Source organism: Homo sapiens, chromosome 7, assembly GCF_000001405.40.
Source record: "Homo sapiens chromosome 7, GRCh38.p14 Primary Assembly".
NCBI classification, from domain to species: domain Eukaryota; kingdom Metazoa; phylum Chordata; class Mammalia; order Primates; family Hominidae; genus Homo; species Homo sapiens.
In genome coordinates this window covers 149,535,665-149,555,187 of record NC_000007.14, presented here as the reverse complement: position 1 = coordinate 149,555,187, position 19,523 = coordinate 149,535,665, and the positions used below count along the sequence as shown (strand labels likewise).

Sequence of the window (19,523 nt, the reverse complement as noted above, 5' to 3'; positions counted from 1 at the left end):
GGGCTCCTCACTTCCCAGCAGGGGCAGCCAGGCAGAGGCGCCCCTCACCTCCCGGACGGGGCGGCTGGCCGGGAGGGGGGCCAACCCCCCCACCTCCCTCCCGGACGGGGCGGCTGGCCAGGCAGAGGGGCCCCTCATTTCCCAGTAGGGGCGGCCAGGCAGAGGCGCCCCTCACCTCCCGGACGGGCCGGCCGGCCGGGCGGGGGGCTGACCCCCCCACCTCCCTCCTGGACGGGGCGGCTGGCCGGGCTCGGGGCTGACCCCCCCCACCTCCCTCCCGGACGGGGCGGCTGGCCAGGCAGAGGGGCTCCTCACTTCCCAGTAGGGGCAGCTGGGCAGAGGCGCCCCTCACCTCCCGGACGGGGCGGCTGGCCGGGCGGGGCGCTGACCCCCCCCACCTCCCTCCCGGACGGGGTGGCTGGCCGGGCAGGGGGCTGTCCCCCCACCTCCCTCCCGGACGGCGCGGCTGGCCGGGCGGGGGGCTGACCCCCCCACCTCCCTCCTGGACGGGGCGGCTGGCCAGGCAGAGGGGCTCCTCACTTCCCAGTAGGGGCAGCTGGGCAGAGGCGCCCCTCACCTCCTGGACGGGGCGGCTGGCCGGGCGGGGGGCTGACCCCCCCACCTCCCTCCAGGACGGGGCGGCTGGCCGGGTGGGGGGCTGACTCCCCCACCTCCCTCCAGGACGGGGCGGCTGGCCGGGTGGGGGGCTGATCCCCCCACCTCCCTCCCGGATGGGGCGGCTGGCCGGGCGGTGGGGGCTGACCCCCCCACCTCCCTCCCGGATGGGGTGGCTGGCCTGGCGGGGGCTGACCCCCACCTCCCTCCCTGATGGGGTGGCTGCCGGGCGGAGACGCTCCTCACTTCCCAGACGGGGTGGCTGCCGGGCGGAGGAGCTCCTCACTTCTCAGACGGGGCGGTTGCCAGGCGGAGGACCTCCTCACTTCTCAGACGGGGCGGCGGGGCAGAGACGCTCCTCACCTCCCAGATGGGGCGGCGGGGCAGAGGTGCTCCCCACATCTCAGACAATGGGCGGCCGGGCAGAGACGCTCCTCAGTTCCTAGATGGGATGGCGGCCAGGAAGAGGCGCTCCTTACTTCCTAGATGAGATGGCGGCCGGGCAGAGACGCTCCTCACTTTCCAGACTGGGCAGACAGGCAGAGGGGCTCCTCACGTCCCAGACGATGGGTGGCCGGGCAGAGACGCTCCTCACTTCCCAGACGGGGTGGCGGCCGGGCAGAGGCTGCAATCTCGGCACTTTGGGAGGCCAAGGCAGGCGGCTGGGAGGTGGAGGTTGTAGCGAGCCGCGATCATGCCACTGCACTCCAGCCTGGGCACCATTGAGCACTGAGTGAACCAGACTCCGTCTGCAATCCCGGCACCTCGGGAGGCCAAGGCTGGCGGATCACTCGCGGTTAGGAGCTGGAGACCAGCCGGGCCAACACAGCGAAACCCCGTCTCCACCAAAAAAGTACGAAAACCAGTCAGGCGTGGCGGCGCGCGCCTGTAATCGCAGGCACTCGGCAGGCTGAGGCAGGAGAATCAGGCAGGGAGGTTGCAGTGAGCCAAGGTGGCAGCAGTACAGTCCAGCTTCGGCTCGGCATCAGAGGGAGACCGTGGAAAGGGAGGGAGACCGTGGAAAGGGAGGGAGACCGTGGAAAGAGAGGGAGAGGGAGACCGTGGGGAGAGGGAGACCGAGAGGGAGAGGGAGACCGAGAGGGAGAGGGAGAGGGAGAGGGAGACCAGAGGGAGAGGGAGAGGGAGAGGGAGACCGAGAGGGAGAGGGAGAGGGAGAGCTGACTTATTTTTGTAGGTGAGGATTATCACCCATGTGCCTTCTTTTCTGTTTTCCAATATACCTACTATATATCAACTTCTCAGATAAAATGCTATATATTTACTTTCTGTTCAATTTTATCTTCCATGTTTTAATTATTATGATTAGTTAATAGTGTTTATGCCCAATGTACATAATCCTAAGCTGAACTAAGAGTTCTGATGGAACTTTTTTTCCCCTCAAGTTACTGATAGCCTCACATTTTCAACGGCTTGGTTTTCTTGGAATATCTACGGTTTTCCACAACCTTTCATTGCTCCATGAAATGCCTGTCAAGTCAGTTTACCACACTGTAAAAGCTGTTACATAATTAACATTTTCACTTCTTGTTTTCCAGTAGATCTCTGGCTTCCTGCTCTGTTTGTTCTGGTTGCCCTGGAAAGCCTGCTGCTCAGCCCATGCCCCGGGACTTCCTCCACCCTCACCAGGACATTCTTTCCATCTCTTGTCTCCTGTGTGCAAGTCCCTTTCTCCTGGATTCCATGTCTTGAATGTTTCTTAATTTACTTCCTCATTTTGGCAGAGGATGTCCTCCAGTTGTTTTCTGGGAATGGTGAGTAGAGGTGAATTTTTTAAGACCTGGCATGCCTCGAAATGTCCATAATTCCACCTACACACTTGATTAGCAGTCTGGACAGACATAGATTTCTAGTTTCAACTTATAATCCTTCATATTGTGAAGGATTGTTTCTGTTATCTTCTGGTGTCTAGTATTGCTATAGAAAAGTCAAGTGCCATTGTGATCCTCTATCTTTTGTATATCACCTGTTTCTTTCACTCTTTAAGTTTTGAAGATCTTCCCTTTTGTCCTGGTATTCTGTAATCACACTATGATGTACTCGATGAAGATAATTTTTTATTCATTTTGTTGGGCATTTGAAGTATCTTTTCTAATGCATAGCCAAGTCCTTTCATTACGAGTAATGTTCTTGTATAATGTCCTTTCCATCATGTTCTCTTTCTGGGACTTTTATTAGTTTTTGTTTGTTTCGAGACAGTGTCTTGCTCACGATAAACTTGAACCTCTGACCTCAAGCAATCCTCCCACCTTAGCCTCCTGAATGGCTAGGCTTACTGACACACCCCACGATGACCAGCTGATTTTTTTTTTCTTTGTAGCAACAGGGATCTCACCATGTTGTCCAGGCTGGTCTTCAACTCTTGGCCTCAAGTGATCCTCCTACCTGGAACTCCCAAAGTGCTGGGATTATAGGTGTGAGCCACAGTGCCAAGCCTGTTAGTTGGTTTTTACACATCTTGGTTTTAACCTCTAACTTTCTTATTTTTATCTCTCTTACTATCTTTTCCTTTGTCTTTTTGTTTTATTTTACTTTCTGGGAAGCTGCCTCAGCTTTATTTTTCAAACTTTCTATTTAATTTTTTATATCTTCTATCCTTTTTTCTTAATTTCTAAGTTATCTGTTCTATAATTGACCCTTTTATGTGTCTTGTTTAACAGATGGAATATTTTCTCATATTTCTCTCAGAATATTAATTAGTTTCTTTGACGTTTTCCTCTCTTTCCAGCTAATATGCAAGTGAACCAGTGACCTGCAGTTCTGCCCACACAGGGTTAATAACCAATCAGATTCTCTCTTTTCAAGATGGTTAACATAACAGACACCAAGAAAGGGAAGAGGAGCCGACAGCAGAGGGGGAAGCTGAAAAGACGCACAAAGAATGGCCATAAAAGATATGAGTATGTTGAGTGATTAGTGATCGGAAACTACGAGTGATATGGTACAGGTGTTTGTAGAAGAACAGTAAAGCCATTGATCAGGTCAGCTATCAATGAACTCCTGCTAGAGAAGGGGTGGTCTAGGCCTGAGTCCTAAAACTTCGTTAGTGATGTCAAAAGTCACAGTCCTTTTGAGGCTTCAGAGACCTCAGTTGTCTGATTATTTCTGTATCTCCATGCAAAGCCCATGACTCCTGTTTTATTCTCACCCCTACCTGTGATAAGCCTGAGACACTCCATGCCTTGTAATCCAGTGGCAATATCATCAGGGTGGGGGCTGGCTGGCTGCTCAGGTGGGCCCCCCAAGCAGAGTCTCAGCATAAGTACCATGTTTAGGTCTCACCTTTCTGCAATGTTTGAATTTCACCCAAAGCCACAATTTCAAAAAATGAACATTATTTCACAACTCTAGATCTTCCCAATTACAGGACTATTCACACTCCCTAATCAGGACCCCTTCCCACATCAGCACAGGCAGGGGGCTCTGCAGCAAGGCTGATGTTAGGGTGGAGGTGGCCTGCAGCCCCTGGAGTGTTTGCTGCACTGGGCCAGAGCGTCCTGTCCTCTGCCTGCCCAACAGCAGAGCCCCCTCCCCAGGGATTATTCAGGTCCTGCTGGGAGGAACAAACACCAAGTCACAGTACCTTTCCCCTTCATATATGTTTCTAGGCAACCCCAGCTTTCCAGACAGTCACTTTTCCCAGTGGTCATACCTGGTCTGGAAGATTCCCCATCATCTCGAATAAAGGTAAGCACTTCCTAAGTCCCCTTCAGCAACACATGCACAAACCGCCTCTTAGAGCACGTACCTTCTGCAGAGAGACACGCCCAGAGGGTGAGCTGATTTTTAAATTACAGTAGCTCCCTAGCTACCAGAAAAGCCCAAGTGAGATCTGAGGAAGTGGTTCTAGCTTCTCTATCCACCTGCCCTCCAAGGAGCTGAAGACTTCAGGCTGAGGAGGGCTGGCTGAAATGGCCAGAAGAGGGGACTGAAAGGGAAGCAAGGTGTCCTCTTAGTAGGGGAGCAGGCCTGCTAGTAAACCAGAGCCACTCTGGGTGTGAAGAAAGAGCCGCAGGCAACAAGAGCGTGGGACTCAGCTTCCAGAGTCAGAGATACTGCTCAGCCAGCCCAGGTGCCAGTGCCAGGGTGCAGTAGCTGAGTGCAGACTAGGAGGCCTTGCTTCCAGTTCAAGCGCCCTTCATCTGGGCTTGCATTAGTCAGCAAAGGTGGTTCTGCACTTCCCATTACTTTGACCCAGGAAGCCTGGTCCTGAATCTGTAAAGTCTATAAGTAAAACTACAGTTGACTTTGAACAACACAGGTTTGAACTGTGGGTCCACTTAACAGACAGATTGTCTTCTATCTTTGCTGCCCCCAAGACAGTAAGACCAACCCCTCTTTTCTTCTTCAGCCTACTCTGTGAAGATGACAAAGATTAGGACTTCTATGATGATTCACTTCACTTCTACTTATTCCATAGGAAATAAATTTTCCCTTATGATTTTCTTAATATTTTCTTTTCTCTAGCTTTATTTTAAGAATACAGTATATAACACATAGAACATATAAAATATGTGTTCATTGACTGTTTATGTTATCAGAAAGGCTTCCAGTCAACAGTAGGCTATTAGTAGTTACATTTCAGGGGAGTCAAAAGTTATATCCGCATTTCTGACTGCAAGTTGGTGGGTAGAAGTCATAGGGGAAAAAGAAGTCTGGAGAGCTGAAAAAGGACGGAGGGTAGCTCTGAGCTGCATTGCATGGAACCAAATTCTGTGTGGTGACTATAAAGCCCTTCCATCTTTAGCATCCTGTTCCCCTGCTACTCCCTGCACCACCTTCCCTGCTCCACTCCCCACGCTCCCCGTCCTCAGGCACTCCAGGACCCGCACTTGATGCTGGCCTCTGCTGAGGCTCCTTCTGCCTGCACGGCTCCTGCCTGTAGCACTGCAAGAGCAAGGCCAGGCTTCCTACATGAGGCTCCAACTTCTACACTCTTCAAAACTTGAAAAGAAATTGACTTGCACCTTAGAAAGTGGCAGTGTTTGTCTCTTAGGCTAATATTTTATGGGAGTAAGCAGATTGCAGCTACAATTATGTTATTATGGACTGTTATACTCTTGTTCAGGGAGAAAAAATCTGCTAGGGATTAAGCAGAATTGGGTTCACATCTTTGCTTTTTTTTTCTTTGTTTAAAAAGTAATTATTATTTTTTGTTTGTTTCGGATCTTTGCTTTTAGCTGTTGTTGCTTTTAACTCCATGGAGAGACCGAATGGAGTGAGCCCAGCAGGGCATGCTGGGCAAGAGAGGTCCCCCGAGTCCCAAATAAGAATTTCAACTAGTATAAAACGAGGCAGCGAACCCACACGTGGAAGTCTGATACCGCTTGCAGAAGGGAATTGAATAGATGTCTCCCTATTGGTAAGGATGTGGTTTTATTGACTTGAAATAACAAAGCCCGCAAGCAACAACTGATCATCCGCGGGATGCTGCCACAAGGAATAATTGAGCACTCATTCAGACACAGGGGAAACCACTGCCTCTTTCAGTCTTTCTCCCAGATTCCAACAGTCAGTGTTACAGCATTTCACCTTGTTCACCTCCCTGAGAAGACGTTGCAGCTCACTCACCCCAGTGGGCACTGGGAGCCTCTGCTCAGGTGGGAGACAGATGCCCCCCACATGCACATCTGGTGTTTATGAAGCAGATACTGGGGCTTCATAAACACAGAAGGGGCAGGGAAGTAGCCCCAGGGCATAGTGTGGGGCCTCCTGACTAAAAGTAGCTTGCAAACCCCTGCCTATAACAGCCACTTCCTGGCAGTCATTGTGCCACTTAGGAGCCCTCCTCACCGCTCTTCCTTTAGTTCCTTCACTCTGTATAGACCCTGCCAGAGCAGCTCAGGGTGGAGCAGCTGCAGCCATGGGACCTGCTCCAGGCAAGGCCCTATGCTACACAGTCCCTGGGGGTGAGGATTCCAGAGGAGTCAATTCCCTACCCGCCCTTCCAGGGGATGGCCGAGATGAGCGTTCCCACAGGGAAAGTGAAAGTTGCAAGGCTGTTGCGGAAACACCAGGGGTTCCATCTAGGTCTTGCTGCTCATCTCACAGAAAGCCAGTCACTGAGACAAGTATTGTCAGGGAAGAAGGCTTTATCCAGGTGCTACAGACAGGGTGAACAAGAGATCAGTCTCAAATCCATCATCATCAACTGACTAAAATTAGGGGTTTATATAGCAGGGAAGAAATGTAACTACATGTGGGAAAACAGGGATTAACGAGGGGCAAGGAAGAGGAGTTGGCCAACAGGCAGCAGGTGGTCACCTGGGGAATCATGATGGGTGAGGGGTCTGGCTTCTCACTTTCCAGATGTGGGGATCTGGTAAATTTCAGTTTCTTGATACCGTCTGGGAGGATTGCTGGCTGGTTTCCTGAGAAAGGAATTCAGATGACATAAATGTAAATTTCTCCTTGGGTTTCAAGACTGAGAGGGTCAATTTCTAGGTTTATTCAAGAAAAACCATAAACATCAGTTCTATGGGACAATTGGGCCCATTTCAAGGCTCTGAGGATAAGGGTTAATGAGGGGACAGAGTCGCCTGGAGAAGTTCACTGGGGCCTACAAGAAACTAGAGAGGCTTCCTGGCAAAGCTCTATGCTGTCTATCCTCTCTTCTCTCCTTGCAGGAAGATTCCAGTATAATAGACCCGAGGTGAAAAGGCTTTTGTTCAATAAGTAGAAAACTGAAGGGGGGTGGGAGGCACATGGATTTGAACCAGAGACCGCTTGGCCTGCAGGCAAATGCTGTACCTTCAGTTGCACCCCTCACTTGTTACAGCTGTTTCTGATAAGCACTTGTGCAGCCCCATCAGCACCTCGATTTCTTCTTGGTGAGTCCATGGGAACAGCCCCACTGCAAACAACCCATTCCTGCTCTCCTCTTTCCTCTAAACCTCAACCTCCTCCTACCTGGCAGTCCACAGGCCTACAGCTTCTCCTCAGTGGGAAAGACATCAGCTTGGAAAACCACTTGGAAAGCCAACGTTATCCTAGAAAAGCTTTTTAAATGACCCAGCAGGACAAGTCTCCGGATGGCCTTGGCCAACCCGGTGCTTCCCTCTTTTCTTGGTTGTAGTTCTCAGAATAACTAGAGAATGTACTGGGAGTGTTGTCCTGAGATAAGGAGGAACTGTCCTAAACCTGGACTCTGTTCCCATCACACCTAGAACAGGATGTCCTGCAACGCTTTAGCCCAATGATCCAAGTTGCCCTTGGGGTATAAAACTTGACAGCAGAGGGCGTTCAGGGTCCCTCAGCTGCAGTGTGAAGTGGGACACACAGGTGAGACTCCATCTGCCCTGGGCAGGTTCCTGAGCCTTGGGGGACCAGTTCACCCTACATCCCAGGCTTCTGTTGTCCCTTGCCTGCCTGTAAGGAATAAAGTTGCTTTGCTTAACTTGCTGTGTGAGTGTTCTGCATCACTGGACTCGAGCAAGTGGTACAAACTGCAGATTAATAACTGGTACGTGGTGAATCTGCTTCCTAAGTGTTTGCTGAATTTTGCGGCCCAGGAGATCATCTGGTGTTTCTGTGATGTGGGAAGATTAAAAGAAAGAAAAATCAAACCTCACACCTAACAAATCAGAATCTCAAGGTGGGACCCAAGGCATCTGTATACTTGACCACCCTCCCAGGTCATTCTGGTTCTCAGACATGTTTGGCAACTTTGATTTTAGTCTATACTTGCATGTTATATGCCTGAAAGAAAAAACAAAGACTAAAGGCCTGCATGAGTTCACACATCACCTTAATAACAAGATCATAGCTAGAACCACATTCCTAGTTTTGGGACTTTCCATTGCCGCAGCCCAAAGGATGACTAGATTCCTTTCCATCTCTTCTCCCTCCACTTCCTTCCCAGGAACCTCCCCTCAACCTGCCATAGGACCTGGGGCAACCTAAAGGTACCAATTGGTATGTGGTACTAAAAAGAGACTCTTTCCAGGGGGCACCTGGATTTGAACCAAGGACTTCTTGATCTGCAGTCAAGTGCTCTACCCCTGAGCTATACCCCCTCAGCTTCTAGGAGTTTCTACTAAATACCTTTTCACCTATGTTGCAACACTCACATCTATGCACTGAAATTTACGTTGACTCTTAGAAAGTTTTAGAGATTTGGACATTTTGCCTCACAGCAAATTAGCCCTTTTGGCCCTCTTCTTCCTTATTAATCCCTCCCTACTTGGTCCCCTAGAAGCCTCCTCAGCTCACTTCCATCTCGTCTTAGGACCACTTCCAAGACACCTGCTTGAAGAATCATTGCCAAGAGCAGGGCCACTCCTTTCTTCCTTCATCTCCTCCTTAAAGTCCACTAACTTGAATGTGTCCCCACGTCCCTTCTTTCCACCCTCACCCCTACCCCAGTGGATAGAATTGGGGGCTTTTCTGCTCATCTCCTCTCTTTTTATTCTCATGTCAACTATTCTTGGTTTTTTGCATGGTCTTGACTGAACCCAGGAAAGCCCATACCAATAATTCGAATTATTTGAATCCCATCATGGAGCTCAGGAAGCTTCCCCAGCTGTCCCAAGGGGCCTCAGGCTAGAAGCACAACTGAAGCAGCAAGGACCAGAAATGTCTCCTCTGCTGGGCAGACCCCTGCCCTGAGGCACAGCACCACAGGTCCTGCAAAGTGAACCTGGCCCTTGGCCAACATCCTACATTAAGGCCACTTCTGACATTAAAAGGCCATACAGATCTCAAAAATGTAGAGAAAGGACACCCACCCAAAGGGTCACATGAGATGGTGGCAGTGCCTGTGATAACTGTCACGGAGACCAAAGCTCAGAATGCACAGAGGCTCACAAAGGAAAATGCAATCTCTTTGTGTCTTTCTACAGTGCCAAACACAATATTGAGCATAAAAGTTGGGATGCAATAAATATTTATTGGGGGAAGTAAAGACAGCAAAATTGGCAAGGTTAATAACTAAGAATAGAGTTAATATAAATTACTTGAGGTAGCACCAGTCAAATGAACTCTGTTGCTATTTGGTGTTCAGTTCTCCAAACCTGAGCATGCATACTCTTCTGAGCTCAGATTCCATCTTTCTTGCTGGAGGAGATGAGCCAATTCACAGACACGTGGAGCTCTGTCACTGGCTACTCTCTCGGTCTTCTGGCTCCCCCAACAATGGTCCTCTCTTATTGGAAAGGGAAAAGGCAAGGAAGGAATTAAAAGAAATCCTCATGTTAAAATTCTTCTTGTTAAACAATAAGACTCTAAAAAGTCCAAAAGTCTACAACCAGCAACCGTCATACTTAATGGTGCAACGTTAGAAGCATTCTCTTAAAAACTGGAAATGACAAAGATGCGTGGTAGCTTTGTTTCTATTTAAAACCACCAAAAGCTAGAGGTAGTGCATTTAAGACCAAAAAAGTAGGGTTTTTCAGTGGAATAGAAGAAACAAAACACCCATTATTTCAGTGACACTGTGGTTATATAGAAAACACAAAGTAATCTACAAATTATCTGAATTATTAATTTTAATAAATTCAAATAAGTTATACAATAAACTTATTTTAAATCAAATATATTTCCACACACCTGTAACAGAAATGAAATTTCTTAACAGAGTAACAAAAATACAGGCTCCCTAGGAATAAATACAAGTTGTACAAGACCTTTGTTTAGACTATTTTAAAGCTTCATTGAAATATTTAAAGGGTACTTAAATAAGTAGAGAAGTATGCTTTGTTTTTGGATAGGACAAGACAATTTTGTAAAGATACTGCTCTCCAAATTTACAGATTTAATGCAATTGCAATCAAAATCCTAATAGTGATTTTTATAGTAATTGACACACTAATGTTAAAAATTATGTGGGAAAATAAAGAGTTGGGAATAGGTAGAGTTTATCTGAAGAAAAATAATTAGGCAAGGAAACCAGCGCTACCAGATATGAAGACTTATAATGTTATAAGACCGTGTAGTATTGACATAAGGGTACACAAACAAAACTAATGAAGAGAATGGGGATTCTAAAAATTGACTATCCATAGATAGAAACCTGATATATGAGAGAGGCAGCATTGTAGACCAGTGAAGAAAGGGTGTACTCTCTGATAAAAGAGTGCTAGGACAATTAGATATTCATTCACAAAATAAATTCCAAGAGGATTCAAGACCTAAATATAAAAAAATCTTTTTAACAAATTTAGAAAATATGAGAAAATTCTTATGATATTGGAGTAGAAGAAGGATTTTCAAATTAAGACAATATAAAAAAAGATTTATTAATCCATGTATTAATCCATTCTGGTTCATTGCAGTTAAGAAACGTCTCTGTTCTGAAAGCCCTCAGATAGTGAAAAGGTGAGTCACATAGCAGGAAGAGAGGTTTGTGAATCATTGTATCAGCCAAGGTAGAGTAAGAAATCAGAAACTACACTCGGCATTTCAACAGAAAGAATTGATTATAAAGTATTGGTTAAATAGGCATTCATGAAATGGAAAGGCAAAGAGAACCCCAAGGTGATGCAGAGATAATAACGTCTGGAAGCAGCTTTCTCCTGCTAGTTTTGAGAGAAAAAGTGAAGAGGCTGCAGTTATCAGAATAGAGAATTGTGGAGCAGGGGCTCTGAGGAATTGGACCTCACACTTGTGAGGATGGGGTGCTGCCCAGCTGGTGCCAGTAACTCAGGAGCTCAGAAGGTGGGTCTTCCAAGGTAGAGCGCTGCCAATGAGGGTGGTTCCAGGAGTGCCATAAGAAAGCTGGCACAAGACCCAGTGCTTCCAGCATTAAGGGTCATTGCTGGGGCTGCGCTGATGGGAACAACAAATGGAACAAAAGCATGTCCCATTCTTCTCTTTCTGCCGTCCCATCCTCATCTATTGCTTCAATCAGCAGAATCTGCAGGAAGCCAGCAGGTAGATGAGAAATGTAGTTTGCAGAGTGCCACAGCCTCAGTAAGCAGGGTCAAGAAGGGTGGGCTCAGAGCTAAGAGACAGTATAGTTTAATTTCTGGCACAACCAGGTAGTCAACAAAGGACTTCTATCCAGAATACAGACTATCTTGATAAGAAAATAGCCAAAAGGAGAGGAGAAAAATAAGCAAAGAACTTGACAAGCATTTCTTAGAAGTAACAGGAAAGACTACTAGACATATACAAAATGCTTAACCTCAGTGGTAATCAGGTAAATGCAATTTAAAATGGAATACCATGTTACAGCCGTCACCAAATTAGTAAGAAATTAAATTTCCTGGCACTCCATGGTGTCAGAGTACATTTTCTACTCCAATGATGTAAACCAATGAGAGCTCTTCTACACTGCTGGTAAGAGCATATCATACACCTGTATAACTTCTTTGAAAAACAGTTTAGTATTATTTAGTAAAGCTACTCATGCATATACTCTCATTTCTCTCTCGGGCATATGCCCTATAGAAACTCTGCTACATGTGCACCAGGAGACACATTCATAGATGTTCATACTCTGTATGATCCAAAGCTTTTAAAATTGATTCAGACTTGTTTTATGGCCCAACATATGGTCTATGTTGGTAAATATTCGATATGCACTTGAAAAAAATGTGTATTGTGTAGTTGTTGGATGTTGTGTTACATAAGTGCAATTTAAATAAGTTGGTTAATAGTGTGGTTTAAATCTATATTCTTACTGACTTTTTTGCTTGTTTGTGTTACTTGTTACTAAGGAAAGTACTAAAATCTCCAGTTATAATTGTGAATTTGTCAATTTTCTTTATGCTTCCCTTTGTTTTTGCTTTATGTGTTTTGGAACTCTGTAATTAGGCATGTACACACTTAAGATTCTTACATCTTCTTAATAAATTAACCCTTTTATCATTATGAAATGTCCATCTTTATCACTGGAAATATTTCTTTTTTTTTTTTTTTTTTTTTTTTGAGACGGAGTCTCGCTGCATCACCCAGGCTGGAGTGCAGTGGCGCGATCTCGGCTCACTGCAAGCTCTGCCTCCCGGGTTCATGCCATTCTCCTGCCTCAGCCTCCCGAGTAGCTAGGACTACAGGCGCCCACCACCATGCCCGGCTAATTTTTTTTTTGTATTTTTGGTAGAGACTGGGTTTCACCATGTTAGCCAGGATGGTCTCAATCTCCTGACCTCGTGATCCGCCTGCCTCGGCCTCCCAAAGTGCTGGGATTACAGGCGTGAGCCACCGCGCCCGGCCAATATTTCTTATTATAAAGTCTACTTTGTCTGATAATATAGCCTCTCTAGCTTTCTTATAATTAGTGTTTGTATAGTCTTTATTTTTGTATTTGTTTACTTTTAACTTATCTGTATTTTTATGTTTAAAATGCATCTCAGCCTGGACAACATAGTGAGACCCTGTCTCTTAAAAAATACAAAAATTAGGCCGGGAAGAGTGGCTCACGCCTGTAATCCCAGCACTTTAGGAGCCCGAGGCGGGCGGATCACGAGGTCAGGAGATCGAGACCATCCTGGCTAACACGGTGAAACCCCATCTCTACTAAAAATACAAAAAAATTAGCCGGGTGTGGTGGCAGGTGCCTGTAGTCCCAGCTACTTGGGAAGCTGAGGCAGGAAAATAGTGTGAACCCAGGAGGTGGAGCTTGCAGTGAGCCGAGATCACGCCACTGTGCTCCAGCCTGGGTGACAGAGCAAGACTCCATCTCAAAAACAAAACAAAACAAAACAAAACAGAACAAAAATTAGCCAGATGTGGTGGCTTGCCCCTGTAGTCCCAGCTACTCAGGAGGCTGATGCAGGAGGATTGCTTGAGCCTGGGAGGTTGAGGCTGCAGTGAGCTATGATCATGCCACTGCACTCCAGCTTGAGTGACAGAGCGAGACCTTGTCTCAAATAAATAAAATGCATTTCTTGAAAGTAGCCTATTTAACAAAGAAATGGAATCAATGTAGGTGCTCATCAATGGTGGATTGGATGAAGGAAATGTGCTACATACACAGCATGAAATACTACACCGCCATAAAAAGAATAAAATCTAGTCCTTTGCAGCAACATGGATGCAGCTGGAGGCCATTATCCTAATCAAATTAATACAGAAACTTTTTTACTGCATGTGTTTAGAATCTCTGTTAATAAGGGGCATCAACTTTTAGGATTGTTATGTTCTCTTGATCAATTGACCCCTTATCAGTATGGAATTACTATCTTCATCTATGGTAATATTTGTTCGTCTAAAAACCAATTTTTGTAATGCTAATGTAGATAATCCAGCTTTCTTTTGATTACTGTTAGCATGCTATATATTTTAGTTTATGTTTTTATATTAAAAGTGTATTTCTTTGGAGCAGCATGTAGATGTTTGATTTTTTAAAATCAAATCTGACAATCTCTGTCATTTATATGAGTTTAAACCATTTACATTTAATGAGATTTATGACATAGTTAAATTTAAATATATTATCTTTGTACTTTCTGTGTGTTTCATGTGTTTTTTAATTCCGCTTTTCCTCATTTCTACCTTCTTTTATATTTATTATTTTTAAATGATTTCACGTTCCCTCCTTTGTTATCTTATTAGCTACAACTTTTTGTTGTGTTATTTTAGTATTGTTTTATGGTTTATACTATACACCTTTAACTTATCTCAGACTATCTTCCAGTGATATGATACCATTGCACGTTTGGGAACTTCACAATGTTATACTTCAATTTCTCCCCTCCCAAACTTTGTGTTATTGTTGTTGTGTATTATACTTTGATATGTGCTACAAATATTACACTACATTGTTATTATTTTTGCTTAAACAGTTGGTTATCTTTCAACAGATCTAAAGTTTAAGAAAAAGTATATAGATGTACCCACATAGTTACCATTTCTGATGCTCTGTATTTCTTTTATAGATTCACATTTCCACCTGGTATCTTTTTTTTGAGAGGGAGTCTTGCTCTGTCACCCAGGCTGTAGTGCAGTGGTGCAATCTCGGCTCACTGCAACCTCCACCTCCTTTCAAGAGATTCTCCTGGCTCAGCCTCCTGAGTAGCTGGGACTACAGGCACACACCATCACGCCCAGCTTGTTTTTGTATTTTTAGTAGAGACGGGGTTTCACCATGTTGGCAAGGATGGTCTTGATCTCCTGACCTCGTGATCCACCTGCCTCAGCCTCCCAAAATGCTGCGATTACAGGCATGAGCCACCGTGCCTGGCCTGGTATCATTTTTATTCTGCCTAAAGAACTTATTTAACATTTGTCTCACTGTGAGTCTCCTGGTGGTGAATTCTTTCAACTTTATTATGTCTAACATGCTTTTATTTCACATTTGTTTTGAAAGGGTGTCACTTTGGGAGGCTGAGGCAGGCAGATCACGAGGTCAGGAGATTGAGACCATCCTGGCTAACATGGTGAAACCCCATCTCTACTAAAAGAAATACAAAAAATAAGCCGGGCATGATGGCAGGCGCCTGTAGTCCCAGCTACTTGGGAGGCTGAGGCAGGAGAATGGCGTGAACCCAGGAGGCGGAGGTTGCAGTGAGCCGAGATCGTGCCACTGCACTCCAGCCTGGGCCACAGAGCGAGGCTCCACCAAAAAAAAAAAAAAGTGTTTCCACTCAGTATAGAATGAGGTTGAGATTTCTTTTTCTTTCACTATTCTAAAGATGTTGCTCTACTGTTTTCTTGCTTGCATTGTTTCCAATAAAATATTTGTCATTATTTTGGTTCTTCCGTACATAGCATTTTCCCCCCTTTGGCTGCTTTTTTTTTTTTTTTTTTGAGACGGAGTCTCGCTCTGTCGCCCAGGCCGGACTGCGGACTGCAGTGGCGCAATCTCGGCTCACTGCAAGCTCCGCTTCCCGGGTTCACGCCATTCTCCTGCCTCAGCCTCCCGAGTAGCTGGGACTACAGGCGCCCGCCACCGCGCCCGGCTAATTTTTTGTATTTTTAGTAGAGACGGGGTTTCACCTTGTTAGCCAGGATGGTCTCGATCTCCTGACCTCATGATCCACCCGCCTCGGCCTCCCAAAGTGCTGGGATTACAGGCGTGAGCCACTGCGCCCGGCCCTTGGCTGCTTTTAAGATTTGCTTTATTACTGGTTTTGAGTAATTTGACTGTAATGTAATTTGGTGTTATTTTCTTCACATCTCTTGTGCCCAGGTTTCATTAAGCTTCTTGAATATGTGGGTGTAGAGTTGGTCTAAAATTTGGAATTTGGGGAGCATTATTTTTTCAGATATTTTTCTGCCCTACACCCCAACTTTCAGAAATTCTTTTCTGCTCACTATGCTGTGTTCTTTTTTCTTTCTTTTAAAATTCTCTTTTAAAAGTAGGTATTTCACTTTGAATAGTTCTGTTGCTATGGTTTCAAGCTAATGATTCTTCTACAATGTCTAATCTTTTGTTAATCAAACAGTGTCTTTTTTACTCACCATTGTAGTTTTCATCTCTTTCATTCACTTTTAGTCTTTGTGACGTAATAAAAAAAAATACATATTTGGTTTCTGCCTCCATTTCCTGGCACACAGCTCCTGAAATCCTTGGGATCTCTGAAGTGATGAGTGTCTGGTGAATATGGTAGTAAGAGGACTGATGGCTGGGGGGTCCTGGGTAGCCTCAGGATCAGGGATAGTTGCCAGGAGAATCAACTGTGATTAAAGGGTTGGAAATTTTAGCCCAATCCCCCTACCTCCAGGGAGGGGAGAGGGACTGAAGGTTGAATAGATTACTATTGACCAATGATTTAACAGTGAAGCCTCTTTAAATATACCTGCATAAAACCCCAAAAGGATGGCCTTCAAAGAGTTTTCAGATTGCTGAACATGTGAAGGTGCTGGAAAGGTGGTATGCCTGGAGAAGGCATGGAAACCCCATGCCAATTCCCATGTACCTTGCTCCATGTACCTCTTCATCTGGCTGTTTATCCACATCCCTTGTAATGTCCCTTAAAATAAAGTGGTAAGTTTAAGTAAGTACTTCCCTGAGTTTTGTGAGCCATTCTAGCAAAAGACCAAATATGAGAAGGAGGTCATAGGAACTCCCAATTTATAGCCAGCCTGTCAGAAGTACTGGAAGTTTGCACTTAAAATCGGCAACTGAAGTGAGGTCAGACGTGTGACTAAGCCCTTAACCTGTGGCATCTCATTCTAACTCCACTTAAATAGAGTCAGATTAGTTGAATTGTAGAACACCTAGCTGGTGTTTGTAGAAAATTGGAGAATGCTTTATGGGGAAAAACAGCCCCGCATTTTCCTAACCAGAAGTGTTTTATGTGGAGTGTTGAGAGTATAGTAGAAGAAAATAGTTTGGTTTTTTCCCCTATTATATACTATTTTTTTAAAGCTTCAATGAAACTGCTTGATTTCTACAACAAACTACTAGAGACAGAGTAGTTTATAAAGAAATTTATTTCTCACAGTTCTGGAGGCTGGGAAGTTCAAGATCAAGTCCCCAGCAGATTCCATGTCTGGTGAGGGCCCATTTCCTGGTTCATAGACAGCCATCTTCTTGCTGTAACCTTACATCACAGAAGGCACAAGGGTCCTCTCTCAGGCCTCTTCTATAAGGGCATAAATTCTGTTCACGAGGGCTCTGCCCTCATGATCTAATCACCTCCCAAAATTCCCACCTCCTAATACCATCACCTTTGGATTTAAAATTTCAACATACAAATTTGAGGGGGATACAAATATTCAGTCTATACCACTACTTTTTGAACATATAGAATGCACTTATAATGACTTTAAATGTTCTTCCCTCTAATTCTAACATCTGTGTCACTTTGGGTCAGTTTCTATTGGTTGACTTTTCTCCTAATTGTAGGTGGTGTTTTCCTACTTCTTTCATACCTAGTAATTTTTGGCTGCAGACATTGTGAATTTTATCTTGTTGGCAGCTGGATATTTTAATACTTGCATAGATATTCTTGAGCTTTGTTCTGGAATTCAGTCAAGCTGCTTGAAAACAGGGCAAGGCACTTCTGTATTCTCTACCCAGTGCCCCATGAATCATGAGGTTTTCCAGTCTGGCTGGTGAAAATAGGTACTATTTCCAGTGTGAACACCATGCATTGTTACCACTTATCCTTTCAGATGGTTCTTTCCTTGGCCCTGGAGAGTTTCCTCATGTGCATGTGCTGATCAGTGCCTAGCTGAGCATTTGAGTATGATCCTCTGCAGAGCTCCAGAGTTCTCTATCTCTGGGCATCTCTCTTCTCTCCAGTATTCTCTTTAGCAAACTCTGACTGCCTTTATCTCTCAAGGCTCAGAGCTCCATCTATTTAATTCCTGGAGTCCATAGGGCTTGGCCTGGGTTTCTCTTCTCTGTGCTGTATCCTAGAAGCTTTCCCAAGGCAGTCAATTGCAGCATTCATAGGATTTATTTTCCATTGCTCAGGGATCACTGTCCCTTGCTGCTTGATGTCCAATGTCTTGAAACTGTTGTTTCCTATATTTTTCAGTTTTTTGGCTATTTTAGATAGGAGGATAAATCCAGTCACAATGAGGATAAATCGTCATCATAAGCAAAAGCCCATTTAAAAAACATAGTAATATCTTTGGGTCCTAATGCATATCTTCACTTGGAAGCCCCACCACCTTCTCAGAATCAACATGGGCAAAACTAAATGCCCTATCTCCCTGCAGCCATCATCTCCACGTTCTCCATCTGGAGTCTTTGCCTCAGTCAATGACACCATCACCCACACAGCTGTCTAAGTTAGAGCCTGAGAGTCATTTTAGATTTCGCTTTCCCTCACTATTCGCATCTAATTTATTAACTAATCTGATCAATTCTAACTCATATACATCTCCCTAGTCTTTCTCCTTTTCTCCACGTCAACAATCACTGCCCTAAGACTGTTATCATCTCTCTAGTGGCAGTTTGTACCGTGTCCGTTTGGTATAGCTAAAACTACTTTCCCAGAATTATTTCCTCGTCGAAATTCAGGTTAGAGTTGGACAAAAGAATTTGAGTGATATTTGGGAGGTAGAAGAGAAGCCACAGCCATTACCCTCTGACAGCTGTTGTTGCAACATACAGACAGTTACCAGTGGATTCCAGCTCATTCTGCTCTCCCTCGCTCTGTGCTCAGCTCTTCCCAGTGGCCAGCCCTGTCCATTAGCAGTAGCCCCAGTAGCCACCACCAGATACTTGTCTGAGGACCTACAGAAATGGTAGCTAAATTTCTTTGGAGTTTTTCTCTAGACTCTTTGTAGCCCCACTTCAGCAGCTGAATGTGCTTGGATTCTCAGGGCTCCCTGCAATCTCAATTTGTCCACCTTGCCATGCTTTAGGAAGGTTGGATAATGACTGCTCTTTGATCCTCCATCTTCCCTAACTCATCCTATAATTGTGCATGGTCTTAGTCCTATAACAATTTCTCATTCAATAATACTTAAGTGATTCTGCTTCCCTAATTGAATACTGACTGACACATCTCATTGGTATTTTTAAACTTTTTCACTGTGAAGCATACAAAAAATCACAAATAATAAGTGATCAGCTCTAAGAATAAGAAGAATTAAATATACCTGTGTAATCTCACATCCAGATCAAGAAATAGAACATTACTCATGGGTAGATGCCAATGAAATGCAAGGAATGGAGCAGGGAATGACTATTCTCTAAGTATACATTTTTATGTAGCCTTGACAGTTGAATCATTTTAATATTTTACATTTCCAAAAAATAAGTATGAGGAGATAAACCTAAAAATAAATATAAATAAAACCAATAAATCTAATGATATATTACATTGATTCAATGCCTACAAAGAATTAAAAAACTCTCAGTGGTGTATATTCTAAGGAAAAAAGTAAGATATTGGAAAAAATTAGATATTGAACTTAAGTTAATTTGGTATAGCTTACAAAACCTGTATGTTGATATTTGGGGGTGCTAGTGTTCCATTTGTGGAAGACAGGAAATATAAACATGGGATGGAGGTGTTGCAGTCTTGTTGTCTGAGGTATTACCCGAG

At 44.9% G+C, this 19,523-nt stretch overlaps 1 non-coding gene and 1 pseudogene across 3 annotated transcripts in view; one reads left to right on the top strand and one right to left on the bottom strand.

The window, feature by feature from the left end:
• The window catches only part of ZNF767P (zinc finger family member 767, pseudogene), a 77,637-nt pseudogene extending 69,603 nt beyond the window's left edge, over positions 1-8,034 (top strand). The window contains exons 5-9 of one of the 2 annotated variants that reach the window (NR_027789.1): positions 2,172-2,387; positions 3,362-3,614; positions 4,242-4,320; positions 5,814-5,995; positions 7,412-8,034. The product of NR_027789.1 is annotated as a zinc finger family member 767, pseudogene, transcript variant 2 (transcript). Of the gene's footprint in view, positions 1-2,171; positions 2,388-3,361; positions 3,615-4,241; positions 4,321-5,813 lie in introns of both variants that reach the window. The other variant, NR_027788.1, reaches the window with a different exon arrangement.
• A 542-nt stretch (positions 8,035-8,576) lies between these two features.
• On the bottom strand, positions 8,577-8,648 carry TRC-GCA16-1 (tRNA-Cys (anticodon GCA) 16-1). Its single transcript has one exon. It is a non-coding gene; the product is annotated as a tRNA-Cys (tRNA).
• Positions 8,649-19,523: the final 10,875 nt, after the last annotated feature.